This window comes from Homo sapiens, chromosome 11 (genome assembly GCF_000001405.40).
Source record: "Homo sapiens chromosome 11, GRCh38.p14 Primary Assembly".
In the NCBI taxonomy this organism is placed as follows: Eukaryota; Metazoa; Chordata; class Mammalia; order Primates; family Hominidae; genus Homo; species Homo sapiens.
The window spans coordinates 93321593-93337822 of NC_000011.10; the positions used below are offsets into that span (position 1 = coordinate 93321593).

A 16230-nucleotide genomic window follows, 5' to 3' on the forward strand; every position below is an offset into this window, starting at 1 on the left:
TAAAATAAGAAAATGCAATTGAAACATTTAATCATGAAAAGAGAAAGAAAAGGGAATGTGGTTTCTTCTCACAATGATTGCTCTCTATCATCTGAGGATTTACGTCAAGCTGAGGAATTTCTCCCAGTCAGTTCAGAAATAGGACTGCATGGTGGATTTTAACACAACACTGTGATAATTAGACTGATGCCTTCTTTACAAAGCAATTTACACACTTTCAGAGATAATCTGGGTTTCTGGGTGTTGAGGTCACCTCAGACTGAAGATAGGTATCCTTTTCAGGTGACATTCTGAAATGTTCCAACAGAATGATGTAAATTTACTCTTTAGAGAAGATAACTCCCCAAAATTATCAAAAGTTGTTTTCTAACAAGGTTTTTACAAAATCATTGCATTTTGAAGTGCAACCATATGGGGAATAAATGCTACTGTATGTGAGGACATTATGAACTAGGTTTCATGTGTAAGCAACTGAAACATGTCTAAGAGTTTTATAATCTTAGTCTGGGAAAAGGAAAAGAAAAAATTGTTGTTGTTATTTTCTACTGTATGTGGCAAGCTCATGTTCCTCAGATGTGTCCTAGAATAATGTTTTATAATAGGTATTACCACATATATTCAACAGCAGCAGCAACAATGCTAACATGCTTTATACCAAAAACAAAAAAAAAGGCATAATGGTGGCAACATGACGAGTGGTCTTACAGCACAAACCTAAGTAATGAGGACACTGAGAGTCATTTTTCTTCAGCCTGCATGTTGTTCCACCTGATCATTGAAGGCTGACACTAAAATGGGTAAAACATTGGTATCTCTCTAAAACAGGTGCCGCAGTCTCAAGGTAATGACAGAATGTTTATTTATTAATATTTGTTTGAAGTATTTGCTCATATATTCCTAGCTCAATTTTATTCAGCCAACTGCATATTAACATTGTTTATAGGGTAACCAGAAAACATGACACTCAGAGATATACAGAAATTAATTCTCAATTCATGGAAGTCATTTCAGTAAAATTAAATAATAACAACAAAAATAACAGTTGAATTTCCTAATACAAAACTCTTGTTCTAAATGTATTTTAAAGACATGTTCTCTTATTTTATAAGTGGCTATATTGTATTCTTTAATTTTTCTCGAACATCACTATTTATAACAGATGGAATCTGATCTTGAATCATTATTTATTTAACTCATTCATAATTTCCCCATTTTGTTTCCAAAAATAAAGAGCTGAGGAAACTTAAAAGATGTTTATAGATAATGAAATATTTTTTAAAAATTAAATAATGTAAAAAGGACTTCCAATTCTGGTAGCATGTTTGATTAGATACGCTGAACAATCTAATTGAAACAAATAAAACATTATAAAAATGTAAATATCTTACTGAGTTTGAATGAAATAATAGAATCAATAGATTTCATAACCTAAGTTATGTGAGAAGTGAGAAGAGGAACCCCAACAAGGGAGTGAATGCTAAAAGAAACTTTTGCTCTGAGTGTTTCTGCTTACACTGTGGTGGCTACGTGCAGAAGGATAATAAGACATAGGGCCCAAGACCAGCCCAGGTGAAGATTTCAACAGACTTCTGCATAAAACTGGGATTCCAAAAGCCTACCTTCACTGTAAAAGTAAATAAGATCAGGCACAGTGGCTCACACCTATAATCCCAAAACTTTGGGAGGCTGAGGCAGGAGATTCACTTGAACTCAGAAGTTCAAGACCAGCCTGGTCATCACAGAGAGACCTGTCTCAACAGAAAATAAACAAATCAGCTGAGCATGGTGGCATATGCCTGTGGTCTCAGTTACTCAGGAGGCCGAGGTGGGAGGATTGCCTGAGCCCAGGAGGTCAAGACTGCAGTGAGCTGAGATCATGCCACTGTACTCCAGCCTGGGCAATAGACCAAGACCCTGTCTCAAAAAAAAAAAAAAAAAAAAGTAAATGAGTCTCAAATCGTGAACCTTAGTGTATGCAAATTTAAAAAATATTTAGGAGGCCAGAAGATCCCAAAAGAGAATGGAGAATGTGACAAAACATCCTAACTGTATTACAGATTTGTAAAACAACTTCACTAAAAGAGGAAGACGGAAAAGGTACTGATTTAAGTAACTTTGGAAATGAGTGAAATCTATTGAGGCTAAAGGCAAAATTTACTATATATATGCACTGTACTCTAATTGATAATGTCCTGTTCCATATGGTACAGGTTAACAATTCTGTTAGTGTTATACACCTATACAGCAGTTGTGCAGTTAAGTAAATGGATGGAAGATCATGGGAAGCCACTTTTTTACCATTGGAGTAGGAATTTACAGATAAGTAAGGGGAAGAAGCTAGAACAATCTGTGTAACAGAGTTGGAGATAACAGTGTGAACTCATGTCCTTTTAGCTTAGATAAACTCATGTCTGTTTAGATACAAATGGTTACATATAGAAATACTTACAGTTATTTGTATATACAAAGGTCAGTATTACACAAATATATTTCCTTGTTCTGTCAGCTGAGAGGGTTTAGGAACAAGAATAATCAAGTCGCAAGGAGTGTTCCTAGTGCCCAGGTACTGGTTTATAATTCATTGTTAATAAGTGCTCCCTGAAGACAGAGCTGATTGCAGGAGCAGGAAATATACATATACAAGATGAGACTGGGACATCCTATAATGATAGAAAGTAATGAAGTTCTCAAAACCAAAAATCCCACAATGATGAGGTATGTCAAAGGAACATGGGAGCCAACTGGAAGAGCTCCCAATGACCACAGCTGGAATAATATGAGAAACTAAATTTGTTTATTTTCTCAAACAAAGTAGCCTTGGATTATAATTCAAAGTATACAATAAATATCCATGTGTCCATACTGATATAAATAAATGTGGGAGATGAGACAAATCTTCCATGCAGAATTCCAAATAATTGATATATACACTTTACCCTTTGGAAGGCAGAGCATAACTCCCTACCCCTGAAGCGTGTGCTGCACACAATGACTTCCATTCAAAAAGTACAGTATGGAAGTGGGGGAAAGAGTAACTTTACACCGGAGAGAGCTGACAAACACCATCTCAACCCGATGATCAAGGTCAACATCAACAGTCATAAATCAAGTTGATAGTATGTACCCTTGATACAATGTGATGAAAATGGCAGTTAATTTCTGTGAGTTTCCTTCCAATCTAATCATGAGAAAAACTGCAGACAAATTTCAATTAAGGGACATTCCATAAAGTACCTAACAGCTCTCTTCAAAACTGCCAAGATCATTACAAAACTCTTGGAAACTGTCACAGCCAAAAAGTGCCTAAGGAGACATGACCACTATTTAGTGTGGTGTCCTGCAACTGAAAGGACATTAGGTAAAAACCAAGAAAATCTGAATAAAGTATTAATTTTGGTTAATATTATCAGTATCAGTTTATTAATTGTAACAAATAGACCAGACTAATGTAAGATGTTAATAATAGAGGCTACTGGATGTGGGGTAGATGGGAGCCCTCTGTACTATGCTAATAATTTTATGTAAATCTAAAACTGTTCTAAAATAAAAAGCTGATTTTTTTTAAAAAGGCAGAAAAATTCAACAGTAGAAAACATGCCTATTTTGACTTTGGCACTGGGTGAAGAAAAACTAAGAAAAGGAAAAAAAAAGTTTTGGAAATTTGTATCATAAGCTGACTCTAACACTTATTTTTCATTCATCATATTACCTGTGTTGTCTGGAAAAGCTCCTGTAAAAAAAATTAATGTAAAGTAGTTTAGAGTTGGTGATACCCCCAGACAATTCTCATAAGAAAATGCAAAATCAAAAAATTCAGCCTCCATCCTGGCCTCAAAGATGTCCCAGAAATAAAGCTTCCCCTCAAAAGTATCTCATAGTTAAAAATTATAAACCCACACAAGAAAAAAGACAACATGAGTAAGAGCTAGCAGTAATATATCCAAAATATTTTAGAGACTGGAATCATAACACGCAAAATAAAATAGAAAATTCTTATTAATATGCTTTAAAAGTTGAAATAAAAAAGTAAAAGAGAAGCTTGAAAATTTTGGCAAAGAAATGGAAGTTATATAAGATGACAGAGATTACCTGCAAAATCAACAAATTAATTTTTTTAAATTTCAAATTCAACAAATACTTTTTGAGTTCTTCCTATGTGCTAGGGCATGTATTAAATACTTGCACATATATTATCTATTTTTACTTTCATAACAACAAATAATTCTATTAATAAGTACCAAAGTTATAAAAAACTTCATAATAAAATATTTTATTATTTTTCAATCTGGATACTTTTTTCTGTTCTGTTTTCCAATTCACAGGTTATCCCTTCACCTGTACCAAATCTATCATTATTCATATCTGTTGTGTTCTTATTTTTGGTTATTAGTAATTTTTTTCTAGTTTTAGAATTTCTATTTTTCTTTTTGTTCTGGCCTTTGTATTTGAGAAGTTATTTCTAGGAAAATTCCTGCTTGCTTCTTCCAGGTATCTTAACCTACCAGTCTAGTATGACCCTATTCTGAGTTCAAAGATGGAGGTTGTCCCAAATTACAGATGATTGCAAGCTGGCTGTGAGTCAGTAGGAGTACCGATTTATTTCCACCTCACCATTTTCCTGAGGGTAAAGTCATCTGGAGCCCCAGCTTAAAGACAGGGGATGTTTATTTATTTATTGAGCCCAGGCTTTGTCTTCTGCCCCTTTTTTTCACAAGACTATCAAACGGCTGCTCAGTTTTGCAGCTGTTTCTTCCAGAGCATCAAATGCCTTTGAAAGCAGCCTTAAGTGCTGGGCTCACTTCTCTAGGTTCATGTCTTTTCCTATATTTTGACCCAGTAATTTCCATCATATTAGCTAGTGACCCGAAAGGTTTCTGCAGAGTTGAGCTCAGAGAAGAAGTTGACCCAAGTGAAAAGAGGCCATTAAGCAGGCAGGCCCAACTTTCCTCTCTGGTTACAAATTTGTTTTTCCCATTAGGGCCCTTTCACTTCAACATTGTCCTAGTCATGAATGGCTCCAGGAAATAAGTATTACATCTTTAAAACTTTAGCTCACGACTATACAAAAATCTTTCTCCTTTAGCTCCCCTTAATATCTGAAAAAGGATGACATTTTCAAAACCACAGTGTCGAAACTCTAAAAGTCCATAAAAAGTAAAAGTAGAGAATTTTAGAAATCATAATAGCCATTTTTTCAAAGAATTTGGCTTTGTTTTCTGATCCTCAAGTGAAACCTGGCGCTTCTAAAGTCCCATCAGGAGGAGAAGCAGCCCTGATAGTGATGATTGACAGGCCTAGCAGGCATGACACAATGAAAGGCCTCATGCTGCCTGGTTAAGGGCTCAAATTTATGTATTTCTCTTCAGACGTCTAATGCCTATCGCAGCCCAGAGCAGGTTGGTAAGGATACTGAGGTAGGACATTTTCAAAATCTCTCTCAAATCACCCCCAAATAATTAAGAATCTCTCTCTTTGCATTGCCCTTCACACTTTAATGAAGAGCTTTAGGACATTGACCAGGCACCCATGTTCTCCAGCTTCCCTGTCCAATATGATAGCCACCAGTCATGTGTGACTATGAAGCACCTACATGTGGCCAGAATGAACTGATTCAGCTTTAAGTAAAAACTATGCAAAAAATATATAAAATATCTCAATAATTTTTATATTGACTAGGTGTTAAAATGATATTTTAGATATATTAGATGAAATAAATGTGTTATTAAAATAAACTTTATCTGTTTTTTACTTTTTAAAATTTGACTACTAGAATATTTAAAATTATACAAGTGGCTTGCATTATATTTCCATTGGACAGTGCTGCTCTAGGTGATCTTAGTTCTAAATACTGAATCTCTTCCTGCTGAATGGTTATTTTCTCAACTAGAATGTGTATTAAGCATCTCCAGAAAATTCCTTTGAAAATGTTTGCCATTAACTAACAATGAGACTAATCAAATAATTATAACTCTTTGGATCTGAGTTTCTTCACATCCAAAATGAAGAGGTTAGACCAGCAGTCCCCAACCTTTTTGGCACCAGGGGGTATGGTTTCAGGATGAAACTGTTCCATGTCAGATCATCAGGCATTAAATTCTCATAAGGAGTGCACAAACTAGATCCCTGGCATGTGCAGTTCACAATAGGATTCGCGCTTCTATGAGAATCTAATGCCACCACTGATCTGACAGGAGGCAAAGCTCAGGCCGTAATGCTTGCCCGCTGCTCACCTCCTGCTGTGTGGCCAGGTTCCTAACAGGCCACTGGCCAGTACCAGTATGCAGCCCAGGGGTTGGGGACCCCTGGGTTAGACTGTATCTCCTCTACAGTTTCTTACAATTCTATGATTATTTCATCATAATTGTTTTAAAAAAATTTTTAAGGTATGTTCTATGCATAATGGTATACTTAGTTTTTAAAATTATAATGAATATATATAATTTTTAAACTTGCTTTTTAAAAAATATAAAAATAAATATTTCCTTGTTGATACAAAGACAGACATGAAGTTATTTTATATAGCCACGCATATGCTAAAGTTGCACATTCATTTACTATATTGCTATTATAAATTTTCCCATGAAATGATTTTGTTATGAAGGTTTTTAAATTTTAAAGGTTTAGCCTATTGCTTTATTATTTATTCCCTATAATTGGTCCCTTAGCTTTTCTTCCAAAGGTCATCCTTATTCTTCATCCATTTATGCCCCCTATATTCTCCTTTGACCATTTCCGGTTACATTTTATCTTATCCTCATTTTGCCATGTCCTCCAATTTTCTTTCATGACTAAGCTCTCTTGTCAACTCTCACTAACCCTGTTTAGGAAGATTTCCACCCTGGCCACACTCTTCCTCTCCTTTAGACTGGAGCTTTCCTGGTCTCATCCCTTTCAAAACAAACTTACCTGAAAATATCTAATAATAAGGACATTTCAAGGTGAATTCAAGTCTTTACTGTTACTTCTTACTAGCAGGGTAGGGAACAGGTATTTGCATTTTAAATCTTAACTCTCATCCTGAAATGAAAACCTTTATTCGTATTAAATTGAATGGGATGTTCCTATTCTATATTTAAATTTTCCTAAAATCCATTATAGTATGTGTCTTCTTAAATGTTTTTGCAAGCATTCCCCTGCACCTATTCTTCTATGTGAAAACATGAAACCTGGCCGGGCGCGGTGGCTGACTCCTGTAATCCCAGCACTTTGGGAGGCCGAGCCGGGTGGATCACGAGGTCAGGAGTTCGAGACCATCCTGGCTAACACGGTGAAACCCCGTCTCTTCTAAAAATACAAAAAATTAGCCGGGCGTGGTGGCGGGTGCCTGTAGTCCCAGCTACTCGGGAGGCTGAGGCAGAAGAATGGCGTGAACCCAGGAGGCGGAGCTTGCAGTGAGCCGAGATGGCACCACTGCACTCCAGCCTGGGCAACAGAGCGAGACTCCGTCTCAAAAAAAAAAAAAAAAAGGAAAACATTAAACCTACAGTTTGCTAAGGAAGATCCTGACTGCTAAAGAAACCGACTCAACCTTAATGTTTGGAGAACACTGGATTTGGAGTAAGATGATCTAGGTTTACATCTTGATGTATCATCCATTTCAAGTGCAAATCCATGGACAAATCCATGGACATATCCTTCATTCTCTCTAAGCCTGGGTTTCCTAATCTTCTGAAAGAAGCTATTAATAACACCTGATACACTTGCTGAGTGTATTTCTGAGCCTCTAAAGAAATAATGAACATGGAAGCACTTAGCAATGTTACATAGCCTTAGTGATCTTGGGCATCCTGAGATTTCATTAAATTTCGTTCCTAGTTCCATTTTCCCTTCCTTGGGTTAGAAAAAATACATTGACCCATTCAATTCAGATAAGAATAAAGAATATACGCGTTTTCAGAATAATGAAAAGTTTCAAGTTAAGATAACACAGTCACTCTCTTCATGCAAACATGAGAGCTATGAAACACCTGTTAGAACTGATATCCCAGGTGACCGTATACAATTCATCTATGAAGCTCAATTTGTCAAGAAACAGCATAATGGTTTTATAAAATTCAGATGGGACCTGGACGGAGGGATGTGGGTGCGCATTAAATTCATAGAATATTAAAGTAGCAAATTAGCGTTAAAGTGATGAAAGTAAAGTGCAAATAAAAGACTTTAAGAATTAAGTAGTCGACTCCATGTGTTAGGAAGGAATTATTTGGTTAAAATAAATCAAATACAAAATTCAAGTGCTTAAAACAAATCACTCAAGATGTCAGTTGGAAAACATATATTCTTTCCTATTATTTCCTCTATGAAATGGAGACAGAAAATCTGTCATCAATGACTCTTGGAATTTGGTGGAAAAAGGAAAGAATCTGGAATCAGTCCCGTTGAGTTTCGTTCCAGCTTCTCCTCTTAGAAGCTATTCTCTTCTCCCTGAAGGGAGGCAACACTGTCCGTTCGCCTGACTGGCAGTGTTTTAAGGACCCATCGCGCTTGACGGGAAAGTCAGGTACAAGCTGATGCTGTTATCACCACAGGAACCAGGGGCTGAGCGGTGAAATCCAGCTCCTCCCAGCTGGAAGACGCTAGGGTGAACGGAGATAAAAGCAGTTCTCTTTACCCGAAGTTTATTTCTTTTTCATGCCACTTCAAATTTGGGTAAGAGGAAAGAGGGCCAAGGGGATTTAAGGAACCTGGATGATGAACTCCCCAGCGGTTTACAGTTCCTTCGTGATCTATTTGGTTCATTCATTCAACAAGTATTTCCGGGCTGCAGCTTGGGTGCCCAGCCTTGGGGTAGGCAGTGGGACTACAAAGAGGAAAGGACCCAGAATAGAGGGGGCACTGGACGTATAACTGCGGGACAGCGAGGTCGCGCTCGCGCGGGGTGAGGTTGGAGGCAGCCGAGGAGCCGCACAGGGCAGCGCCTGCCGCCGCCGCCGCGCCCATCCCCCACTCCGACGGCCACGAGTTCGGGCCGCGACGTCCCCATGGCAACACGCGGCGGCGCCGCGCGCGGGGAGGGAGAGGCCCAACTGCCTCGTTGGTCGCGCGGCGGGAGGGCCCAGGCGGCGGGAGCGCGGCGGCGGGTGGCGGGGCCCCTTGGGGCGGGCCTGGCGGGGCGGGAGGTGACATACGCGGTCCTGCGCCCTCGCCTCAGACCTCTCGGGCGAGCGCGGCGCAGCGCAGGTAATGGCTCCTGGCCTTCCCGGCCCCGCCTCGCCCCTGACCCTCACCCAAAGGCCAGGCTGCGCGGGTCCTCGAGCGGGACAGGGGAACCCCAAAAGGGCGGCCGCTCTGCGGGAGGCTGGGCTTGAACCGAGCGCGGGTCCTGGAGGGGCGCGTGGCGCGGGGACAGAGGCTGGGAGGGGAGGCCCGCGCTTGCAAATCCAGAGCAGAGCTGCGCCCTAAGTTAGAAGGACTGGGCTTCAGTTGTGTGGCCTTGGGCAAGCCACTTAACTTGTCTGTGCCTCAGTTTCCCTGACGTTTAAGTGAGATATTTGAGAATCTACAAAACCATTTATTGGTCTGCTCCTTCTGGTCAAGTTTTCCTTCACCATCCCTGCTCCTCTCCGCTCTGTCTCTCTTAATTCCAGGGTCTCTCTTAAAACTCTTCGATTTGGAAGTGATGTGAGCTCGAATCTTCCTCCTCTTTCTACCTCCTTGAATGTTCTTTAATTGACTTTTATTCAGTGATTCGGAGGAGTTGAAGTCCTTTTCAATACTTTCTCCAGTTATCGTCATAGATTATTTTTTAACTAAAATTGTGTTACTGAGAAAAACTTTTTTTTTTTTTTTACTTTAGGCAAATGCTAACATCCCTATTTTGTCAAGAGGTGAGCCAGTGCCCATAGAGCCATTGAAGAATTTCAAGATTTCTTTTTAAAGGCATTCTTAGCCTTTTTGTCCTAAATCTCATAGTTATAGTCATCCTAACAAAACCCAGATAGGGCCAAAGAAAGAATGTACTCAAATAAAGGCACACCTTTAGGGGAACCACAAGAATAGAAAGTTTGAGAACATCTGGCTAGAATTTCTCTTTTAATGGGAATTCTGTTTTACTCATTCTCATGTACTGAGCCGTTTGCGAACAACGTAGTACAAGCTATTATTCAATAAGTAGTAAATGGATGCTCATTTTAGTCCGTACCACATATTTCAATAAATCACTAAGTCAATATCGTAAATGCATAGGGGTCGCTAAACAAAAAACTCAAGTTTGGGAGGCCGAGGTGGGTGGATCACGAGGTCAGGAGTTCGAGACCAGCCTGATCAACATGCGAAACCCCGTCCCTACTAAAAATACAAAAATTAGCCGGGCATGGTGGCGATTGCCTGTCCCAGCTACTCAGGAGGCTGAGGTGGGAGAATCGCTAGAACCTGGGAGGCAGAGGTTGCAGTGAGCTGAGATCGTGCCTCTGCACTCCAGCCTGGGCCACAGAGCTAGACTCCGTCTCAAAAAACAAACAAAAAACCAAAACAGAAAACTCAGGTTTCTATATTTTGTAGGATCAAGAGCTACTACACAGAAAAACTCATACTAAATGGTTTTTGCCAGTAGCAAAATTTTCATGTTTTATAGGTTAAAGAATATAAACATTTTAGGAACTTGTATCATTTTCCTCCTAACAGATTAAAAATCAAGAAATATAAACCAGATGTAGCAGTTTCTTGACATGGAGAACCAAGCCCATAATACGATGGGGTAAGTGCTGAGAAATTTCTGTTTAATAAGTATGTGCTTAACTGTGCCAAAAACTTCCTGAGAACACATGAATTTTGAAATTTACTATTAATAGAAGGATATGCCAATTATTTTTGGTGAGGCGGATGAGAGGAAATATGAAGTGACTGTAATTAAGGATTATAATGCGAGACTTTCTGATTTTGACACTACAGATCTGCACTCAAAAATCACTGTTTTCCAACTTTTAGTGACTGTCCAATATCTAAGGGTGGTGGATGCGGAGGCAGGCCTCGTGTGCTCTTCTGTTACCACAATGCAACCTTTCTTCGCCAGCTTGCTCCTTTTTTGCCGCATTGAGTATCTCAAGTTTCCCTCTACTCTTGCCCCTTAAGGCTGAACTCAACACTTAAACATAGCCTGAGAATAGATGCAACTCCGTAAAAACATCATCAAGAACTAGATATCTTACCAAAAGTTTCACGAAGAGATAAGAATAAAATTTGTATAGCATTTGTCATTGTAGAAAATCAAATTCCTGTTTACAAATATCTGTCCTAACTCTTTACCTGCTACCTGCATCACAGAGTTTTCTCTTCCTATTGTTTCACTAGCCAACTGACCACTGGCTGAACACAGAGTTTGGGGAATGAAGGGGTGAAGGGGTGGTTGTATAGTGCCTAATCTTGATTGCAACTGACTTTGGCGCTAGTCACACCACTTCAGGTGTCTCACTTTCAGAAATTCTGCCCAGACCATAACTTTGATGTCAGGCTGAAAGAAAGCTGCACAAGTTTGGATAATAATCATAGCTATCACTTTTTAGCTCCCACTGCATACTCCTTCTTACAACAGCCCTGCTAGGTATTATTCTCATTTTACAACTAAGAAAAGTAAATATATTCGAGTACAGTCTAAGCTCTTATAACAAAGAGACTCCAAAAACAGCAGCTTAAATAAGATTGAAGATTATGTCTGTTTCATATAGTCGTCACAGGTGCTGCGCTCACCCAAGATACACGGACCAGGATTGGTTTGGCAACTCTGCCATCTTCATTAATGATTTCTATCTCTAGGACCAAAGTGGTTGTTTCAGCTCCCACCATCATAAGTGTGCTCTGCCATCATGACTGTGCTCCTTCCATAGGGAAGGAGAAAGGCAAGAAGAGAGAGTAAGACCTTTTCTTTTAGGAGTATAACATGGAAATGGCAGGTCTCGCTTCTGTTCACTTTCCATTGGCCAGAACTTTATCCCAGAGTTACAACTAGCAGCAAGAAAGGCTGGGGAATATGGTCTGTAACTAGGTAGCCATATGACCAGATGAAGCTTAGAAGTTCTAGAACAAAGGAGGAAGAATGGATATTGCTGAAAAACTAGCATCCTCTACCACATTGAGGCTCAGAAAGGTAGAAAGACAAAAAAAGCAGGAGCTCATCCTAGAATATACACCAGGTTAGTAGAGAAAGTAGGATTTGAATTCAGGTATGCCTGGCTCCAATCCCTGTGTTCCTTCCTACATTGGAAATGGATGGCAATGAGATGCAGGGAGCAGCCTGCCTGGTATCCATAGCAGAGCCAGGTTAGGATTCTGGGTTAAGTATGTGTTGGGTCCCTGGTGTGATGATAGCACTAAGAGCTAAGATGCAGATTGAAGATGTTGAACCTAAGGTTGGGTCCCAGATATCACTTCACTCCTACAAATCCAAGGCCATGGAGTCATTTAAGAAACAGACCTTGTCTTTAAAGAACTTAGAATTTAGTAAGGAACAGTAGAACTTGTTTGGGTATGGTGTAATTACAACCCCCCAAGTTAATGAGAGTTTTTAGAGGTTTTCCTGAGGTACTGTTCCACTCATCACAGTAGACATGGGTCCACACACTGCCTACCACGGTCTCCAAAGCATGGAGACCCCAGGTTGGCATTGCCTCAGTCCCACATGCTATTGAGAGTTATGTATAAATCTAGATCATGAATACAATAAAACTTCATCATCAGGGACTTGTTATGTAGCTTATTAAACCATGTCATCTACATATACAGTAATGTTTTGTGGAGCAGCCTACATTTAACAGATACCTATTTAGAGTCTACTGTGAGCTACTTACTGGTCTAGGCACCAGGAAGGTAGCAGTGAACAAAATAGACAACTTCTTCTCAAGGGGCTTATACCATAGTGGAAGAGACAGATAATAAACGTATAAATTTGTATCATATGGTGATATGAAGAAAAATAAAGCAGGCTAAGGGTGGGAAAAATAGAGAGTGTGAATGGAGTGGTCAAATAAAGATACTTTGGTAAGGCAGCATTCGAGCAGAGATTATATCTGGGGAAAAGATTACACAGAGCAGGAGCAGAAAGTGCCAAGGCCTATGGTGGGAGCTTTCCCACAGAACATTTTCAGTGTGAGTGAATCAATATTCTCTGATATCATGGTTATAACCGGGTTTGATGTTAATTTATCCATGATTTCTTCCAATTATAGGTGTTTGTATTTGTGCCATAATAATCTAAACTCCTTGTAATTGAAACTCAATTTTATGTTTGTTCTTTTTGTTTTTAAAGTGTGTTTCCAGAACATAATTATAGAATAAGTGATCCCTTTTATTGGCCTTTTTAAGAAAACCTTCTCTAGGTTTTGCTTTGTTTTTGTTTTCTTATTCATGAATTTCTACTTACTAGTTTTCCCTTTTATGGTTTATTCTATCTTGTTCCCATGGGTTGAAAAATGTGCTTCAGTTATTTTCATGATTTCTGGATTTCATGATTTCTTTAAATAATAAAAGCATGTAAGTTTCCTCCTGAGCACAGCTTTGCTGCCTGCCATAGGGTTAGTGTTCTCACCATCATTTTCTAAATAATCTATCATTTCAAATTTGATATCTTCTTTGACTCAAGAGATATTTACAAAATGTAATTTCAAGGGGCATTTAGTTATCTTTTTATTATTACTTTTTAATCTTTCTACTGTCATAGTCATAGGATATGGACTATATGATTTTGACTCTGTCAATTTCACTAAGATTATTCTTGTAGTCTATTGCAGGATCAACTTTTATTAATGTCCTTTGGGTATTTGAAAACACATGTATGTTCTCTTTTGGTTGAGTAAAAAGGCTAAAAAAGTTATATAATCAAACATTTTAATTGTTGTTATTATGTTTAACTTGTGTTTTTCAAGTACAGTTACATTAATTTTTGTTTATTTGATCTGTCAAATTCTAAGGAAGATCTTCACTATAATTGTAGTTTGTCTAGTCCTTCTTGTATTACTAACAATTTTTGGTTTACATATTTCAGTGTTCTGTTGCTTGATGTGTCAAGGTTTATGCGTATATCTTCTCAGCATATTATATGATTAACATTATAAAATATAGCACAAGTATAAACTAATGTTTTCTGTTTTAATTCTACTTTGCCTGATATTAATATTACCATCCCTGCTTTCTTTTTAGTTTACTTTAATCAATAATATCTTTGTTCATCACCTTGTTTTCAACCTTTTTTAGGTCATATCAAGTTTTTCTCCACATATAAATAGCATATGGTTAGATTAACAAATAGAGGCCAGGTGCAGTGGCTGACGCCTGTAATCCCAGCACTTTGGGAAGCCAAGGCAGGTGGATCACCTGAGGTTGGGAGTTCAAGACCAGCCTGACGAACATGGAGAAACCCCGTCTCTACTAAAAATAAAAATTAGCCTGGTGTGGTGGTGCATGCCTGTAATACCAGCTACTCAGGAGGCTGAGGCAGGAGAATCATTTGAACCCGGGAGGCGGAAGTTGCAGTGAGCCGAGATTGTGCCATTCCACTCCAGCCTGGGCAACAAGAACAAAACTCCATCTCAAAACAAAAACAAAAAACAAAACCCAAAAAACAAATAGGAAGCATAGCTGGGGAGACCTCAGGAAACTTACAATCATGGCAGAAGGCGAAGAGGAAGGAGGCATGTTTTATGTGGCCAGAGCAGGAGGGAGAGAGAGAGAAGGGGGGAGTTGCATCTCCTGAGAACTCACTATCACAAGAACAACAAGGGGGAAGTTCGCCCTCATGATTCAGTCACCTCTCACCAGGCCCCTCCTCCAACACTGGGAATTACAATTCGACATGAGATTTGGTTAGGGACACAGAGCCAACCATATCAGCGGGCTTATTGACAGTGGTCTTTACTCCATAGTCATCAGACTAGGCAGTTTCCTTGCAGGACCCCAGGTCACTCTCTTTCAGTCTTTTGTCTCAGGCTAATCAGATTCCAGAGAATTCTAATTTCCTACCTGGAGAGTATACCAGCATTCTGGGAGCTGAAAAGGATGAGGGGGCTGAATTCAGACTTACATTGTTGACCTTAACCCCCCCAGTTTCCAGTACAGTGGTCCTGCCATCTACTGTACCTGGTGTTCCCCAACCCCAGTCCAGAGCCTTTCTGTTTTAGCTTCTCCAGAGAATATGCCTGGATTCGAATGCCAGTGAGGAGATCTAGGAGTCAACCCCTTCTTAGCCATTCCTCCTGTTTTCAGGCTGACACTCACTTGCTACTTCCAGATGTATCTAGTTGGTTTGCTACTTGGCTTTGTCCACTGCTAGTTCCTGTTATTTTTATCCTTCTAGGTTTGACCTTCTAGGTTAAAAATATCCCTTTACTTTGTGTTAGTAGGATTTGGGGAGGGAACAAAATGTGTGTGCATACATCTTCAACCAAATTCTCATTTTTCTCTACTGAATCTTTTACTGTACCTTTTATTCTGTGACTTTTATCTTAGCCATTGATCTCATTCATAGAATCTTGTCAAATGCTTCCTAAACATCTAGGTACTGCTACGTGATCCACCAGATTCTTCTTATCTGCTGTGAAAGTCATTATTTTCAAAGAACCAAGGTAGATGAATATTAAATCATAACTTCTTGCATCTGATTCAAAAGGTCCTTTAAAACTATACTCTTTTTGTGTGCATCTTTCTTAACCCTTAAAGTATTCTTTCCCTCTGAGATATATTAATCATCTTTACTTTACTTACCAGGTTCTTGACTTTATGAATCATAACTTTACTTACCAGGTTCTTGATGAGTTAAACACAGTTTTAATTACAGTTTATAAAATAAAATCTAATTTTTCTGATGTAAGTCAACATATTGGTACCTGAATAAATTATATATTATTTTTGCACATTGAAAATTCTTTTTAAATTTGGTTAATTCCCTTGCTTTCTGGTTAGCCCAGACTGTACCCCCTTACTCTCCCTCTCTTCATACTTTATTCACCTCCCCCCATATACACGTATATTCCTCCCCAGAGTAATCAAACTGGACAAGTTCTTCCAGTTTCTTGTATCTCTGAAGAAGAAACAAAGTAAAGTACATCTGGGTTAAAATCCTGACATGTCAAACTTGACGGTAGACTCTGAAATGTTAGCAGTGCTGAGTGACTGTAGGAATTAAATGCATGTTTTTGAAAGGAAGGAAAGTTATTAGGAAGGAGAGAGAGGGAGGAAGGAAATAAGGAAAGAAAGGGAAGATTTCTACAAGAGACCTAATCAAACTGCTAGTAAGTTTAAGGA

At 38.9% G+C, this 16230-nt stretch overlaps 1 protein-coding gene across 15 annotated transcripts in view, besides 1 other annotated feature; it reads left to right on the plus strand.

The window, feature by feature from the left end:
• The first annotated feature begins 8405 nt into the window (after positions 1–8405).
• DEUP1 (deuterosome assembly protein 1) overlaps positions 8406–16230 on the plus strand; it is a 108473-nt gene continuing 100648 nt past the window's right edge. For 11 of the 15 annotated variants that reach the window (XR_007062456.1, XR_947798.3, XR_007062457.1 and 8 more), the window contains exons 1-2: positions 9150–9180; positions 10624–10696. Coding sequence is in view for 12 of the 15 variants with exons in the window: in XM_011542633.3 (XP_011540935.1) it covers positions 10668–10696 (29 nt within the window). In the remaining 3 variants the exon portion in view is untranslated. Of the gene's footprint in view, positions 8650–9149; positions 9181–10623; positions 10697–16230 lie in introns of those variants that run through there. The other 4 variants (XM_011542631.3, XM_047426455.1, XM_011542630.2 and 1 more) reach the window with 2 other exon arrangements.
• Positions 8789–9290: an enhancer, noted in NCBI's record as "H3K4me1 hESC enhancer chr11:93063547-93064048 (GRCh37/hg19 assembly coordinates)". NCBI's record gives its function as "activates a minimal SCP1, AML or CMV promoter by ChIP-STARR-seq in naive H9 embryonic stem cells {active_cell/tissue: H9 hESC(naive)}" and the evidence as "EXISTENCE:reporter gene assay evidence [ECO:0000049][PMID:30033119]".